We start from the raw sequence: 18,075 nt of genomic DNA on the forward strand, positions 1-18,075 counted from the left end.
GGCCTTGTTCCCAGTGGGTAATGCTGGAAGGTCTGCAAACTTCACAGTATCTTTTAATAAATCTCCTTTAGGAGCCAAGCACAGTGGTGCATGCGTGCAGTCCCAGCTACTCAGGAAGTGAGGTGGGAAGATTGCTTGAGCCCCACAGCTTAAGGCCAGCCTATGCAACACAGCAAGACCCCCCTAAATCAACAAATGTATAAGCACATTTATTGTGAAGGATTTAGGGGGATCTTGCTCTCTACATAAATAGATGGATAGATAGATAGATAGATAGATAGATAGATAGATAGATAGATAGATAGATATAGATATAGATAGATATAAATAGATATATAAATATATCTATTTATATATCTATATATCTTACGAGTTAAATTTGCCATATTTGGCTTTTATTGCTTGCAATGAAAAATTCTAGTCAAATATCTAACTCAGCCTATTCCCTTCTTCAAATTTCAGATTCATATATTCAACTACGCCCCTGACATTCCAACTCAGATATTTCATAGCCATCACAAATTAAAAAATGCAGAAATGAACTATCAAGCTCCCTCTCCTCCATTCCAAACCACTTGCCTCTTAGCATATGGAAACACCATCCAGAGTTGCTTACATGAAGAATCTGGAGCCATCATTGAAAGCTCTCTCTTTATACATTTTCCAAGTGGTCAGTTTTGCCTCAAAATACACTTCAAATTTGTCCACTCATTTCTCTCTGCATTTGTTACCACCTTAAGTTGAATCACCATTATCTCACAAATGCACCGAAACATCTGCTTGTAAAATGTCTCACCCTTTTCCCATGTTGTTCTCTTCCAATGCATTTTCTTCATAGCAAACTAAATTTCTAGAAACAAAATCATGTAATTACCTTAATCAAAATTCTTCAATGGTGTGCCATTGTACATTGGAAGAAATCCAAAGTTTTTACTATCACTTCCAAAACAATGAACAATTTAGATTCTGGCTAGCTCCTTAGCTGCATCATATGTGCCATCTCACATTCAATTCTCCAGGATCCTACCTCATTTCACCTCCTTAAAACCGATAGGCTTTTCTGTTTTGGGACCTTTGCACAAGCTGTTTACTCTGCCAGGAAGGTGCTGCCCACCTGATCTGACCTCATTGCAAACTTCAGAGAGACCTTTTTATCCTGTCAGTGTCACCAAAGAGTCCTTATTACACTCTCTCAAGCCATCCCCTATATACCTATCATAGTTCACAGAAATCACTGATTTTTAATGTGATTATTATCTATCCTCCCTATCTGTCTGATTTTCATTAAAATTGTCATTTTAGTAAAAATTTTCTGATTTTCATAAGAAATGACAATTGTTCTATTTTATCTATCTCTAGTATTTTATGCCTAATGTAGTGCCAGGTACACAGAGTTGCTGTTCAAAAATATCTGTTCAATGTTTGAATTAATTATTTTCAATCACAACACCCATGATTCCTCTGTGGTCTGTAGTAGTTTTCTTTGTGCAGTGTCTGTCACAGCTCTAAAGAGAAGGGTAAGAACAATAGAACTGTCTAACAGGACAGATTCATTAGCTGAGATTCAAAACCAAAAGGCAAATCTGGCTAATTTCTCAGATGACTGGATGCATTTATGCTTTTGGATCAGGGATGACATTTGCTGATAGATACCAACAAGTTGCATATCTAGAAACTCCATTATCTGAAACATACACACAAACTCAAACAGAAAAATTTACTATGATTTAAATATCTTTAAATGAACAAATGCTGAACGACACTGATATTAAGACCTATTTATTAGAGCAATATAATCCTTAGATGAAGAATATAGGGAAACACCATATTCCCACCATATTTACTGGAGTAGTTATCTTTACTTCTGTGGCATCCCTACAGTGATGATATAATTTGGAGACTTCATTTGCCAGTCATTTACGAAATGGCTGTGAGAAGAAAGTCTCATGATCATAGACTCACTTTTAGAAGCTATGTTAGCTTGGTGCATTTCTTAGTCAAGTACATCACACTATCTTAATCTATGTCTAAAAAATGTGGATCCCAAATGTGAATTATCTATTATAAATGTGATAACAGAGACAAAGGAGGGAGATCCACTTAAGAGGGTATGATGGTTAATACCGAGTGTCAACTTGATTGGATTGAAGGATGCAAGGTATTGACTCTGGGTGGGTCTGTGAGGGTGTTGCCAAAGGAGATTAACATTGAATCAGTGGGCTGTGAAAGGCAGACCCACCCTTAATATGGGTGGCCACCATCTAATCAGCTGCCAGCACAGCCAGAATATAAAGCAGGCAGAAAAACATGAAAAGACTAGACTGGCTTAGCCTCCCAGCCTACATCTTTCTCCCATGCTGGATGCTTCCTGTCCTCAAATATCGGACTCCAAGTTCTTCAGCTTTGGGACTCAGACTGGCTTCCTTGCTTCTCAGCTTGCAGAGAGCCTGTTGAGGGACATTGTGATTGTGTGAGTTAATACTCTTTAATAAACTGTCTTTTATATATATATCTATCCTATTAGTTCTGTCCCTCCAGAGAACCTTGACTAATACAGATTTTGGTACCTGGAGTGGAGTCAGTAGAGACATTCCTTCTAAGGTGAAGGATAAGTTGCTGCATTTGGCCCCTCCTACAACCAAGAAAGAGGCACAGCGCCTAATGGGCCTATTTGATTTGGAGGCAATACATTCCTCAGTTGGATGTGTTACTTTGGCCCATTTATCGAGTGACCCAAAAGGCTGCCAGTTTTGAGTGGTGTCCAGAACAGGAGAAGGCTCTGCAACAGGTACAGGCTGCTGTGCAAGCTGCTCTGCCACTTGGGCCATATGACCCAGGAGATCCAATGGTGCCTGAGGTATCAGGAGAAGATACGGATTGTATTTGGAGCCTTTGGCAGGCTCCCACAGGTGAATCACAGCAGAGGCCTCTAGGATTTTGGAACAAGGCTCTGCCATCTCCTGCAGATAACTACTCTCCTTTTGAGAGATAGCTCTTGTCCCGTTACTGGGCTTTGGTGGAAACTGAATATTTGACTATGGGTCATCAAGTCACCACGTCTGCCTATCACTTGAACTGCCTATCATGAACTGGGTGCTTTCTGACCCACCTACTCACAAAGTGGGTCATGTCCACAGCATTCCATCATCAAATGGAAGTAGTATATATGTGATTGGGTTTGAGCAGGTCCTGAAGTTATATGAGGAAATGGCTCAAATGCCCATGGTCCCCAGTCCTGCCACCCTGCCTTCTCTCACCCAGCCTGCACCAATGGCCTCATGGGGAGTTCCCTATAATCAGTTGACAGAGGAAGAGAAGACCAGGGCCTCGTTCACAGATGGTTCTGCACAATATGCAGGCACCACCCAAAAGAGGACAGCTGTAGCATTATAGCCCCTTTCTAGGATATCCCTGAAGGACAGCAGTGAAGGGAAATCTTCCCCTGTGGGCAGAACTTCAAGCAGTGCATCTGGATGTGCACTTTGCATGGAAGGAGAAATGGCCAGATGTGTGATTATATACTGATTGATGGGCTGTAGCCAGTGGTTTGGCTGGATGGTCAGGGACTTGGAAGAAGCATGATTGGAAAATTGGCAACAAAGAAATTTGGGGAAGAGTTATGTGAATAGACCTCTCTGAGTGGTCAAAAACTCTGAAGATATTTGTATCCCAAGTGAGCGCTCACCAACAGGTGACTTCAGCAGAGGAGGATTTTAATAATCAAGTGGACAGGATAACCCATTCAATGGATACCACTCAGCCTCTTTCCCCAGCCACCCCCGTCATCACCCAATGGGCCCATAAACAAAGTGGCCATTGTGGCAGGGATGGAGGTTACGCATGGGCTCAGCAACATGGACTTCCACTCACCAAGGCTGACCTAGCTACAGCCACTGCTGAGTGCCCGATTTGCCAGAAGCAGAGACTGATGCTGAGCCCTCAATATGGCACCATTCCTTGAGGTGATCAGCCATCTACCTGGTGGCAGGTTGATTATATTGGACCTGTTCCATCACGGAAAGGGCAGAGGTTTGTCCTCACTGGAATAGACATGTACTCCAGATATGAGTTTGCCTGTCCTGCACACAATGCTTCTGCCAAGACTACCATCCATGGACTCACAGAATGCCCGGTCCACTGTCATGGTATCCCACACAGCATTGCCTCTGACCAAGGCACTCACTTTGTGGCCAAAGAAGTGTGGCAGTGGGCTCATGCTCATGGAATTCACTGGTCTTACCATGTTCCCCATCATCCTGAAGCAGCTGGATTGACAGAATGGCAGAATGGCCTTTTGAAGTCACAATTAAAATGCCAACTAGGTGACAATACTTTGCAGGGCTGGGGCAAAGTCCTCTGGAAGGCTGTGTATGCTCTGAATCGGCGTCCTATATATGGTACTGTTTCTCCCATAGCCAAGATTCACTGGTCCAGGAATCAAGGGGTGGAAGTCGAAGTGGCAGCACTCACCATCACCCTTAGTGATCCACCAGCAAAATTTTTGCTTCCTGGTACCGCGACATTATGTTCTGCTCGCCTAGAGGTCTTAGTTCCAGAGGGAGGAATGCTGCCACCAGGAAACACAACAATAATTCCATTAAACTGGATGTTAAGATTGCCACCTGGACACTTTGGGCTCCTCCTACCTTTAAGTCAACAGGCTAAGAAGGGAGTTACAGTGTTAGCTGGGGTGACTGACCCAGACTATCAAGATGAAATCAGTCTACTGCTCCACAATGAAGGTAAAGAAGAGTATGCATGGAATACAGTAGATCAATTGCGGCGTCTCTTAGTATTACCATGCCCTGTGATTCAGGTCAATGGGAAACTACAACAGCCCAATCCAGGCAGGACTACAAATGGCCAAGACCCTTCAGGAATGAAGGTTTGGGTGACTCCACCAGGAAAAAACCATGACCTGCTGGGGTGCTTGCTGAAGGCAAAGGGAATACAGAATGGGTAGAAGGTAGTCATCAATACCAGCTACGACCATGTGACCAGTTGCAGAAACGAGGACTGTAATTGTCATGAGTATTTCCTCCTTCTTTTGGTAAAACCATGTTTGTGTATGTATACACCTGTACTAAGGAAATATGTTCATTTTATTTCCTTTTTCTTTTAACATGTGACATCAGATTTACTTCATATTAGCGTTTAAGTATCGTTAGCTTTATGTAATAGCATTTGGGTTGGGGATTGGTGCATTTCTGGTTGTACGAAGGATAGCTGCATTATGTTACGTGTAATTATGACCTTATTATTGTCTTTATTTGAAGATAATGTGTGATCTCAGATGCGTATGGGTTCAAGTCGACAAGGCGTAGACTTACAATGATTAATACTGAGTGTCAACTTGATTGGATTGAAGGATGCAACATATTGATACTGGGTGTGTCTGTGAGGGTGTTGCCAAAGGAGACTAACATTTGAGTAAGTGGACTGGGAAAGGCAGACCTACCTTCATCTGGGTGACAAAGAGGGTGACAAAGAAATCATCTGGTGGGCACCATCTAATCAGCTGCCAGCATGGCCAGAATATAAAGCAGGCAGAAAAATGTGAAAAGACTAGACTGGCTTAGCCTCCAATCCTACATCTTTCTCCCATGCTGGATGCTTCCTGCCCTCGAACATGAGACTCCAAGTTCTTCAGCTTTGGGGCTCAAACTGGCTTCCTTGCTTCTCAACTTGCAGACAGCCTATTGTGGGACCTTTGATTGTGTGAGTTAATTCCTTAATAAACTCCCCTTTATATATGTATATATATCCTATTAGTTACATCACTCTAAAGAACCCTGACCAATACAGAAGGCTTACACTCTTTATTCTAACAGGCTTAAGGCTAACTCTATATGTCTCCTTCCCAATGTCAGGAATCTCTGTAGCTTAGAGGAACAGTTTTCCTCAGTGACATATGTAACTCAGTGATTAGTCACAGGAACACTGACCTCATCACAATAAAATAGGGATCTCCCTATTTTAAGATCCCCCTAAGGAATAAAGAGCTATGCACTTTAGGGAAAACTCTATAAAACGTGTGAGAATCAAAAGAGTTCAAAAATGGCCAAAACCAGCCAGGCAAGATAGTGAGAATACATGTCTACAGAAACATTTTTTAAATAGCAAGGTGTGTTGGTACATGCCTGTAGTCCCAACTATTAGGGAGGCTGAGGTGGAGGATCACTTGATCCCAGGAGTTTGAGGCTGCAGTGAGCTACGATTGCCACTGCACTCCATCCTGGGTGACAGAGTGAGATCCTGTCTCCAAAAAAAAAAAAAAAAGGCAAGGAGAGGGTGATCCTTACTAAAACAGGCAATTCAATATTCAATTAGGGGGATTCATTCAAACCATTTATTTCACAGAAATGGCCAAATAAGTGGCCTTGTTAATAAGAAGATAAAACCCTTTCCTTTTTGCATTAAAATAACTGATTTTGTCTCAAATTATATTAAATAAGGTAACTACAACAGAAATAAGAAGAAAATTACATTGATTGTATAGACAAGAATTAGTTTCTGAAAGCACATAAACCTTTACAGAAAATACGCTTACTTTATCAAAGTGGTTCAGTTTTCAGCTGCTTCTATGGCTTACAACAAAAAAGGGATTCTGTTACATATGGAAACTTCAAAAATCACAAAGCTCAAATAAAAATAATAGTCCAGGGCAATTAATCTGGAACAAGAATACCCATGAATACTCTGGGTATTTGTTTTAATGCACTTCAGTTCAATAGTGTTGTTTTCTTTCTCATCAAAGAGCAAACTATATTTCTATTTATCATCTTCAGAAGTAGTAACAGAGCCTATCCTGGTAATATGCATTGTGGGGAAGAAGAGGATACAATTGAACACAAGGCTATTTCAAATAATAGAAAAGATACCTTTAATAATTGGCAGGAGATCTTATAACACAAACTATAAACAACTGCTGGATTTGAAAGTCACAAAAGCATAGTCCTAGAGTCCATATCGTGGGATCATAAGACAGTTACAGCTTTCCCTAGAGTCAAGAGGAAATGTCATCCATTAGAATTCAAGTGAACTCTCTATATACCCATTTATAGAAATAACTAGACCCCTAAGCAGATTCAGGTACATTCTTCTTATTCTTCTACATCTGGCCCTGAATTAGGTGAGGTGACAAGTGTGATTTTTCAGACCAACTCATGGTCTTTCTGGCTTATGGTTATACTGATCGCCCCTGGTGACTTGTGTGTGAACAAACCTCAGAGCATTCAAATCCCTGGGTTCTGCTCTGGCTCTGCTAGTATCCTGCTCTGCAAACTTAACCTCTCTGGGCTTTCATTTCTTTATCTTCAAATTGAAGAAAAATGTGATACTTTATCCTTAAGGTCAACCTCTAGTTCCAAATTCTTAATCAGAAAAATTATGGCAGGCTTATGGTCTACAGAATTAAAATCAAAGAGCCTTGCTGAGGTAAGCGACAACATTTGCAAAGGACAATGTAAGGTTCATTTTCTTCTAGCCCGAATGAATTGTACCCAGTATTTATGTGGACTTGAAAACTATAAGTGTTTTTAATAAATTAAATCTAAAATGAAGGCATTTAAAATTATTAGCGGCTTATCAGCATGAAACACAAAGAACACTGAAGTGGGAGATTTTTCCAGTGAAACTCATCATTAAACTTTCAATAACAATGTCATCATTTCTTTTCCCTTCTGTGATCACACCATCTCCCAGGCACAATTTTAGGTTTAACAGTCTTAAAACCAGGTAAGACTAGGGAAGCTGAGCAGGCAAATCAAATGATTAAGTTTTAAAAAGTTTTATAGGTATTTAAGCCTTGGGAAAGCTTAATTAATGAAGAATTTAAAACAGGAGTGAAAATTAAAGCAGTAGGAAATATTCAAGAAAAAAATTACTATGCCATTGAAAAAATTCAGGAAGAGCCACAGGGAACTAATGCAAATAATCATTGACTGGAGGAAATGTCTCTGGCAAATGCAAGAAGTGACCCAAAGAAACAGAACTGAGAAAATTTGGCCAGAAAAGTAAAAAAAGAACATACATAAAATGGATGGTACAACATTGCTTTTATTTTTCAGGAAGAAAATGTGATTGATTCTGCGTAAAGGTGCTTTTCATAACTTTTATATTGTCATAAAGACAATAATAATATCCTTAGCTCTTCATATTCCTTTGCCAGTCTATCATTCACTCATGTTTTCAATGTAATATTCAGAACCCACTGTATCAGATCATCTGGTTGAGTTCCATACCACCATCTTCTCTATCCACTTATCCTATGAGATCCCAGTTGCATCCCATAATCTTTTTAAATATAATGGAAAATTTAAAACATTTCATCTGATATAGTTTGACTCTGTATCCCCACCTAAATCTCATCTCGAATTATCATCCCCATGTGTTGAGGGAGAGATCTGATGGGAGGTGATTGCATTATGGTCTTTCTCTCTCTCTCTCTCTCTCTGTTGCTGTCTCTCTCTCTCAGTCTCAGTATCTTTATAGCAGTGTTAAAACGGACTAATAAATCATCCTTCTTGGTCTCAACTACTGGTCATTCATCTTAAACCATGCTTATCTCTGATGGATACTATCTAGAAATAAACACATGAGATGACATTTTCTTGGATATCTCATTACAAACATATTAGGCATCTGAATCAGTATTATTGTTTTAATTTATCAAATAATGTCCAAAATTATGATGGAAACAAAATAGCTGGTCCAAATCTAAAGAAGATATTTTACTTGCTTAATCACAAGGATTATTTAAAACATCCACATGTGGTTTAACTGACTCCCAAGGTAGATACATTTCCAAAGCATGACACAAGGGAAAGATATAGCATTAAAATCACATTCCAGGGTACCTATATTTATAGAAACACACAGAAAATGGGCTAATCTTTGCACTTTCTCCTATTGAGAGAAATAGATATTCTACTCAACCCTTTCTTCATAGCTGGTAATGTAACATAAATAATAAAATTTATCTTAAATTGCCTACCAATCATCAAATTCAGGGAACTGTCCACTGAACTTTTAGTATTGGCTTTCCATTTGTTGGGGAGGGGAAGAGTGGGGTTACAAATTATAGACTAGAAATAATAACAATAAAATAATTCCAAGGGGCATTAAATGCCAGAGTTCTGGGGATTTGGAGATTGGGGTAAGATAACTAGAGTAACTTGCTGACTGTGCCCCACACATCCTTTCCTTCTGGTAGTCAAAACAGTGAGAAATGTGAAGGAGGGGCTTAGGCAAAAGCCAGCCTTGACGGCCTGGGGCATCTTATTGGCATTTGAATTGGTGAGAGAGCTAACAGTTTCCACTCCTCCTCATGTTATTTTGGAAGCAAGACCTACCAAACAGGCCAGGCACAGTGGCTCACTCCTGTAAACCTAGCACTTTGGGAGGCCAAGGCGGGCGGATCGCAAGGTCAGGAGATCGAGACCAACCTGACCAACATGGTTTCTACTAAAAATACAAAAATTAGCCAGGTTTGGTGGCACGTGCCTGTAATCCCAAGCTGCTCAGGAGGCTGAGGCAGGAGAATCGCTTGAACCTGGGAGGCGGAAGCTGCAGTGAGCCGAGATTGTGCCACTGCACTCTAGCCTAGATGACAAAGCAAGACTCTGTCTCAAAAATAAAAAAATAAAAAAACAAAAGACCTACCAAACAGAACCACAGCCACTAAAAGAAGATCAGAGTTAACAGTTGGACAGAGAGGGGTTATTTCTGCATGTTGGAGATGCTTGTGTTCACAGAGTAGCTGTGTTTATCATTAATAATAATAATAATAAAAAGTTATGCCTCTCATCAGTAAGCATAGCCTTTAAAAGCTAGGCATATTCAGGGAAACAAATTCATCCACTTCTGACATCGGTTGCAGGGTCTTACCTCTGGCAACAGATTAATGCATTAGCAAGGAACCCAAATGAAAAGTGCTTATGTAGACAGCACAATGGCTGTGATTTAGTAATGTTCGTACAGCAATTTATATTTACTGAGTGCTACAATGGTTTCTATTATTTATTCTTCAAGAGAAATCCATGAGGTACTGTCTTCATTTTTTTAGGTGAGGAAAATAAGGCATAGGGAAATTAATATGGAATCACAGAGATCAAGTCAGGTTGTGCCTGTACACACAAAAATAACCTTTTAGAAAGGAAAAATGAGCTTAAGTTACGAGATCAAGTCAGGTTGTGCCTGTACACACAAAAATAACCTTTTAGAAAGGAAAAATGAGCTTAAGTTACTTGCTTGACATTAAATATTACATTGGTGCAAAAGTAATTGTGGTTTTTAATTGTGGTGAAAACCGCAAATACTCTTGTACCAACCTAATAGAGCAGTGGACACTGACATATTTTCTTAGCAGTAAAAACAACCCCCCCCCAAAAAAGTCACATACAATTCCAATTTACAAACAAGATAACAATTACACAGCATTAGTAAACCAAATATAAATTTCTAACGTTTACTAATTATTAGGGCAATCAATGCTTTAGGAACATAAACTTTGAAATCAGAGGGCATGTATAATAGTTCCAAGCTTCTATCACTCTCAGCTTCTGTGAATTTCAGAACTTCTGAACTCCAGAGTCTGCAGGCTTTAGGAAGAAAGTGTTTGCCTAAACATAACAGGTCAAAAGTATAAATTCAGTAAAACTACTTTGTTTGCATAAACCTAATGACATAGTGTGTATGCTGGGAATGTACTTGAACCTTTGAATTCAGTTGTTTAATTAGTGAGCTATTGTGGTGGGGGTGGAGTGAGTGGGGAAACCCACAGAGGAGGAGCCTCCGCTGAGTGATTTAAAGCGTGCAGGAAAGAAGGCCTGTGGCCTGTGTATGCATAGGGGGAGCTCCTCCCTAATCCTCATTATAGATTTGTGTTCTCTAAAGCCGGAAACGACAAACTAAAATTAAGTAAAGAGATGCTAACGGTTATATTAATTTTTAAAGAAGAAACAACAGCCTGCAGCTGATGATGTGTTGGCTGGAATGGCCTGAGCCGCTGGGAAAGAATTTAATGGAACTAGAGCTTTTAAAAGTCATATGAGTTCAAAAGGGGAAACAGGAAAAATAAATAAAGAGAAGTAGGCAGAAAGAACAGGTGAGATTCAGCTGAGTGAAGTTGATGGCATAACATATGCTGAGGCCACACATTTCCAACAACAGTCCATCAGCCATGAGCTGAGTTATGGCTCCCAGAGTCATGGAAAGCAGTTCTGAACAGAAGCTAAATGTTGGTGAACTCAAATTCCAAAAAGAATAAAGTCATGCTTCTCCAGAGACCAAAGAGAAGATAAAGAAAATGGCCTGGCCTTATACTTGAGGGAGAAAGCAAAATGATTTACAAAGAACAGAACTAGTGATTGGAACCAATGAGTAGGACTGGATGAGCAGAGAATAGGATCTAAAACTGGCAGTCTTGGAAGGAGCCTAAGAGAGCATCGAATCCAAGAAGTTTGGGGATGATAAATGTGAGGCACATGTATCACCTGTTATCTATGTCCACAGTCCACTCAATACTGCAACCTGGTCCAAGATGAATCCTGTGGCATTGGGTTTATCTGTTAACAGTTTATAAGAAGACCACATTCTAGATCAACTGGAGCAAAATACTTCAACTTTTTACACCAGGGAACCAGGGATGATGTATGTGCTCTAAGGAACTGGAATGGAGGAATATACTTTATGTAAAGAAGGAAGACCAGAAATCCCAATATTAGATTGGAAAAAAAATCCTCTTCGTCTTCTGCCGGGCCCGCCCAGCAGACCCTGGCCAAATGACAGATGAAAAAACGTACACAGACACAGGTGTTTTGCCTGGCCGCGCGGCTAGGGGACCGAGCCACTCACAGACATCAAGGAGGATGCCGTAAAGAGTCACAGAGGCCGCAGCCTTGACAAGCGGCCGCTACAGTCATTTATTCAGTACAGATATAAAGACAAAGGCCTTGAGGCAACACACTTGTAGGTAATTAATATGGTTGCGCCCCGCCCCCCGCCCCGCCCCCAGGTTCAGAGGCCTAAGTAAACTAACTTACCTTGATCAATTCTCTTACACTTCCTTGTTATCTACTCTTAGAGAATTCAGCTGCCTTCAGCCCAATCCTTTCCCAAAGCTTCTGCAAAACCTCCCAGCCTTCCAGGAATGTTTCCATCTTTCTATAATTTTTCCCACCACCCTGACCGATCTCCTACAATCTCCAAAATTGTGAAATAGAAAATCAAGCTATTACAAGTGGCAGGGGGAACCTACCTGTGGTGGCATTTCTGTTAAATAATAATGTGTACGTGATTGAGCTTTGTAAACTAAAAATAACTAGAAAAGGGAAGTGATGCTCTGGAGTGGCTTTAGATTTGAGTGTTTACTTCACTATACATACATATTTTTTTCCTAAATACAAATATGATACGTCCATTTAGAATATTTGGAAAACAGAAGTGAAAGATTTTTTAAAGAGAGAGAGAAATATTCAACCATAATAAGCCTTCCACTTAGAACTGATCACTGTTAACAATTTGGTGCACTACATACTAGTATTTAATTCATATGCAGATCTGTGCCTTGTTTATAAATAAAAGTGAGACCCTTTTCCTTTCTTTTTACTTGGCAATACATTGTGTGCTTTGCCATTTCATTTTATTCTTAAAACATTAAAGACTGCATTAAATTCTACTGCTTTTCATCAATTCTCTAAAGTTAAAAACTTAGGTCTTTGTATTTCCACTATTTCAAATAAAAGTGTGGATTGATATCCTTGATTTTGTTTGCATTTATTTGTGTGCTAGTAAGACTAATCATTTTTCATGTTTTGGGCCATTTACACTTCTTTTGTATATTGGTTTCATGTTACTGTCCATTTTTTTCCTAGAGTATTAAGCTTTTTAAAAGACCTCTTTACATTAAATATATTAATCCATCCTCTGTCATATACATTTAAAATATCATTGATTTGTCTTATTTCATTTAAGGTATTTTCTTCAAGAGGGGAGGCCTTTAGTTTTTATGTAGCTAAATTTTTTCCTTCATGGCTTTTGTTTTTGGTGACAAGTTTTGAAAGATCTCTGTGCTGCAACTACATATACATATTCAGCAGTAGTTCCATTTAGTTCTTTTAACGAGCATTGTTTAAAAGCGTGGGGACTGGAAGCCATTCCTAACACTGACCTTAATCTTATGATCTATTCTGCCTCCACTGATCTATGATTAATCTGATCTGTGCTTTAATTTCTTTATCATAAAACTAATAAGTAGTACTAGTATTTGCCTCACAGAGCAGTTAAAAGTAGTAAACTGGATAATCTATATAAAGTGCAAGGCATAATATCTGGCACATAATAAATAATAAATGCTAGGGATTATTTAACTCCCTAATATCTACGAACATTATTTTAGAGACTATGATACAAATAAATCTAAGTTTAATTTTCTCCAAATTTGTGCCAACACTATATTTTGAATAAAACATATTGTGTCTCACTAATTTTATATGCCACTTCTATTATATACTAAATGATTACAGGTGTTTGGATACATGTCTACACTTTTTATTGAAGTCTACTGATTTCCCTGGCTAGTAATATAAGTCTACTACAATATTAAAATCAGTATGGCTGAATAATATTTTAATTACTTTTAGTGCAATTATCCGTCCTTAATTATTCTTTTCTCAGAAAATACCCCTGACTAATCAGGCTGCCAAAACTTCTGGTTAAAGTTCCAAGAGGGAATTAACAAAAGTATATGAAACTGTCATTCTTATAACGAGCACTACCTTTAAATATTTTTTGGGAAAGTCCAAGGTGAACTTTTCTGCCCAAATTATATTTCACACCAATCACTTCCTAGTTTCTGTCCAGTAAAGTATAAATGTATAAGGGTCAGTATCAACTGTCAAAACAAATCAGGTTTTTCGACTGAACTCATTGAGATAGAGAATAGAAGGTTACCAGAGACTGGGAAGGGTAGTAAGAGAGATGGCATGGAGAGGAGGTGGGGATGGTTAATGGGTTAAAAAAATAGTTAGAAAGAATGAATAAGACATAGTATTTGATAGCACAACAGGGTGACTATAGTCAACAATGACTTAATTTACATTTTACTAACATTTTACTAAAAGAGTGTAATCGGATTGTTTGTAACACAAAGTGTAAACATAAACACTTGAACGGATGGATACATCATTTCCCATGATGTGATTATTATGCACTGCATGCCTGTATCAAAACATCTCATGTACCCCATAAGTATATATACCTACAATATACCTACACAAATTAAAACTTAAAAAAATCTCTTTATTTTCTTGTAAATGATCTTTATTGAATTTGAATTTTTATATCTTCTAATATAAAACATATGTTTTAAAAAACTCAGGTTTCTAAGTGTACCCTTGTAAAACATTTAAAGGCCAAAAGGAGAATACATTGTACCTTCTAAATCACTTTCTAAACCCAGCCCTGGGACCCTCAGGACTCCACTCATTACAGGATGGGGGTCAGCCAGCATGAATAGCCCCGGCTTCATTGGTGATCATGAGGAGCAAGAAAACAAACACCTGAAGAGCCTGAGAATGGAAGCCCAAGTGTCAGTTCTTCCTTGTAGTGCCTCTGCACTGTCGCAAATGGGCTGTGGGGAGACTTTATGTGCCTCACTCAGGGGGTTCGTCATGCCTCCTTCTTTGAGTAGGAAGAGGAATTGGAAATATACAAGCATCAGAAGTGTGACTGCCATACTCTTCCTCCCAAGAGAGCAGATTTAAAATCCACTCATAGAGATGGAAGTAAAAAAGCTCCCTAACAACTTGTTTCAAATCAATATGCCACTTTAATATGAGAAAGTTCCCATGTCTTCACAGTGGCTTCACAAGTGGATTTCTGTCTTGTCTCATATTTAATGATTCTATAACTGTGTGTGCAAAGCATATGATTTGATACATGACTAAAAAGGTATTGTTATTAACTGTTAAAATACCATGACTACATTCCTACTTTGCTCAGTTTTAATTTTATAATAAATACCTTAAGATTTTCCAAATTGCTCTAAATTTACATTTTGTAACAGGTTCTTCAAGTTTGTTTTGTTTTGTTTTTTATTTTCTCCAGGGATTGGGAAGCTTAAAGGAAAATAAGACTGCAAAGGGATCTCTTAATAGAAATGTATAAATTATGCTGAAGATAACAGAATAAGCAATGATAAAAACTGCAATTTTTCAAATTAAGTCTGGCCACCAAGTAGATTGGGAGTGTGAAAATGAAAGAAACCATAGGAAAAAAGTGTCTATGACATCTTAAGCCTCATCAGAGCTAGTGAAAGGAACATTAGCTTTAATCAGATGAATAGAAGCCAGGAAGGGAGGCTTCAAAAAAAAGTCCTAATAAAGGGGAGCATGAAACCATGGCTGAAACTCTGAAATGGAAGAAGGCTCAAGAGGTTTATTAGACTATTCAGAAAGAAATTTCAATTTTTCTTCTGCAAATAATTCAGAAAACAAAAAAGGTGGGGGCAGGAAGGCATATCTAAAGAGATCAATAGGAATCTCTGATGACCTCAAATTTCATGAGGATTTGTGCAAATCATAGAAGGACAAATAGTACAGAGGAGAATGTTCCTAAACTTAGAGTCAGGAAAGCTCAAAAACATAATAAGCTAAGGCTTGAAAATGTATAGACAGCAAGAAAAATATTCTATTTTTTTTTTCTTTTTAAAGTGCCATCCAGTACAACAAGAGTCGTAAAGCCAAGGAGCTTCCGTTCATCACAGAGGAAATGGATTATGAAATGTTTAGTGTTGATGGATGGGGTGTTGCTCTACTTCTCATTATTTTCTGTAATAGAGGACAACTGTCAATTAAAGAATGTTGGTGTCAATACTGGCATGAAGCCAGGCACGAAGCTGGACAGACAGGGATATTGTAAAATGCATTTTCTCACTCTGAAGGAATTAGAGACTCTCAGCCATGTTCACTTATGGGCGACCACATGTCCTCATTTGTCTGAGATATTCCTAGCTTATGCCTGCCTTTCTGGCATAGCTATTAATAGACCTCCTTTCCATTTTAAAAGATTTTAAGCACTGAGCAGACCAATATCAAGTTCCAAAGTTGAATCAGTAATACCAACAAACAAAAGCCCTACGGCAGATGGATTCATGGCCAAATTCCACCAGATAGACAAAGAAGAACTGGTACCAATCCTACTGACGCTATTCCAAAAAATGGAGGAGGAGGGACTCCCCTCTAACTCATTTTATGAAGCTAGCATAACCCGGATACCAAAAGCTGGCAAAGACACAAAGAAAAAAGAAAACTACAGGCCAATATCCCTGATGAACATAGATTGAAAAATCCTCAACAAAATACTAGCAAACTGAATCCAGCAGCACATCAAAAAGTTAATTCACCATGATTAAGTAGGCTTCATTTCCAAGATGCAAGCCTGGTTCAACATATGCAAATCAATAAATGCGATTCACCACAGAAACAGAACTTTTTAAAACCACATGTAATCATTTCAATAGATGCAGAAAAAGCTTTTGATAAAATCTAACAACCCTTCATGATAAAAGCTTTCAACAAACTAGGCATCAAAAGAACATATCTCAAAATAATAAGAGCCATCTATGACAAACTCACAGCCAACATCATACTGAACAGGCAAAAGCTGGATACATCCCCACTTAGAACAGGAACAAGACAAGGATGCCTGCTCCCACCACTCCTATTCAACATAGTACTGGAATTCCTAGTCAGAGCAACCAGGCAAGAAAAAGAAATCAAAGGCATCCAAATAGGAAAATACATCATCAAATTATCTCTCTTCACTGACAATATTATTCTATACCTAGAAAACCATCTCAGACTCCACCAAAAGGCTCCTATTCTGATAAATGACTTTAGTAAAGTGTCCGGATACAAAATCAACGTGGAGAAATCAGTAGCATTTCTATACACCAATAATGCTCAAGCTGAGAGCCAAATCAAGAACATGATCCCATTTACAATAGCCACACATACACACAAATCTAGGAATATATTTAACCTAGGAGGTGAAATATCTCTAAAGGGACTACAAGACACTGCTGAAAGAAATCAGAGATGACACAAACAAAACAAAAAACATTCCATGCTCATGGATTAGAAGAATCAATATTGTTAAAATGGTCATACTGCCCAAAGCAATCTACAGATTCAATGCTATTCCTATCAAATTATCAATGTTATCTCTCATAGAGTTCGAAAAACTATTCTAAAATTCATATGGAACCAAAAAAGAGCCCAAATACTCAAAGCAATACTAAGCAAAAAGAACAAAGCCAGGGGCATTGCATTATTCAATTTCAAACTATACTTTAAGGCTAAAGAAACAAAAACAACATGGTACTGGTATAAAAACAGACACATAGACTAATGTAACAGAATAGGAAACCCAGAAATAAAGTCATCCAATCTTCAACAAAGTTGACAAAAATAAGCAATGGAAAAAAGGCTCCCTGTTCAATATATGGTCCTGGGATAACTGGCTAGCCATATGTGGAAGAATGAAACTGGACCCCTACCTTTCACTATATACAACAAATAATTGAAGATAGATTAAAAAGTTAAATATAAGACCTCAAACTATAAGAATCCTAGAAGAAAACTTAGGAAATACAATTCTGGTCATTGGCCTTGGGAAAAAAAATATGAGTAAGTCCTCAAAGGCAACTGCAATAAAAATAACAATCAATAACTAGGACCTAATTCAACTAAAGACCCTCTGCACAGCAAAAGAAACTATCAAACTGCAAACTACAGAATGGGAGAAAATATTTGCAAACTATGCATCCAACAAAGTTCTAATATCCAGAATCTATAAGGAACTTAAACAATTCAGCAAGACAATTGTAAAAACCAATAACTCCACTAAACAGTGGGCAAAAGATATAAATAGACACTTCTTAAAACACAAAAGCAGCCAAAAAACATGGAAAAATGCTCAACATCATTAATCATCAGATAAATGCAAATCAAAACTACATGAGATACCATCTCACACCAGTCAGAATGGCTATTATTTAAAAGTTAAAAATAA

The 18,075-nt window shown here is 38.4% G+C and overlaps 1 protein-coding gene and 1 long non-coding RNA gene across 25 annotated transcripts in view, besides 3 other annotated features; both read right to left on the reverse strand.

The window, feature by feature from the left end:
- The window catches only part of GRM8 (glutamate metabotropic receptor 8), an 814,344-nt gene that overhangs the window by 208,440 nt on the left and 587,829 nt on the right, over positions 1 to 18,075 (reverse strand). The window lies entirely within an intron of this gene.
- Positions 2,409 to 7,389, reverse strand: LOC107986843 (uncharacterized). Its single transcript, XR_001745350.1, has 3 exons — positions 6,882 to 7,389; positions 4,471 to 4,567; positions 2,409 to 2,447 (listed from the first exon to the last, which is right to left on the reverse strand). It is a non-coding gene; the product is annotated as an uncharacterized LOC107986843 (long non-coding RNA).
- Positions 10,565 to 10,634: an enhancer, noted in NCBI's record as "active region_26575". NCBI's record gives its function as "activates an Ori minimal core promoter by ATAC-STARR-seq in GM12878 lymphoblastoid cells {active_cell/tissue: GM12878}" and the evidence as "EXISTENCE:reporter gene assay evidence [ECO:0000049][PMID:35858748]".
- Positions 10,945 to 10,994: an enhancer, noted in NCBI's record as "active region_26576". NCBI's record gives its function as "activates an Ori minimal core promoter by ATAC-STARR-seq in GM12878 lymphoblastoid cells {active_cell/tissue: GM12878}" and the evidence as "EXISTENCE:reporter gene assay evidence [ECO:0000049][PMID:35858748]".
- Positions 11,175 to 11,224: an enhancer, noted in NCBI's record as "active region_26577". NCBI's record gives its function as "activates an Ori minimal core promoter by ATAC-STARR-seq in GM12878 lymphoblastoid cells {active_cell/tissue: GM12878}" and the evidence as "EXISTENCE:reporter gene assay evidence [ECO:0000049][PMID:35858748]".

This window comes from Homo sapiens, chromosome 7 (genome assembly GCF_000001405.40).
Source record: "Homo sapiens chromosome 7, GRCh38.p14 Primary Assembly".
NCBI classification, from domain to species: Eukaryota; Metazoa; Chordata; class Mammalia; order Primates; family Hominidae; genus Homo; species Homo sapiens.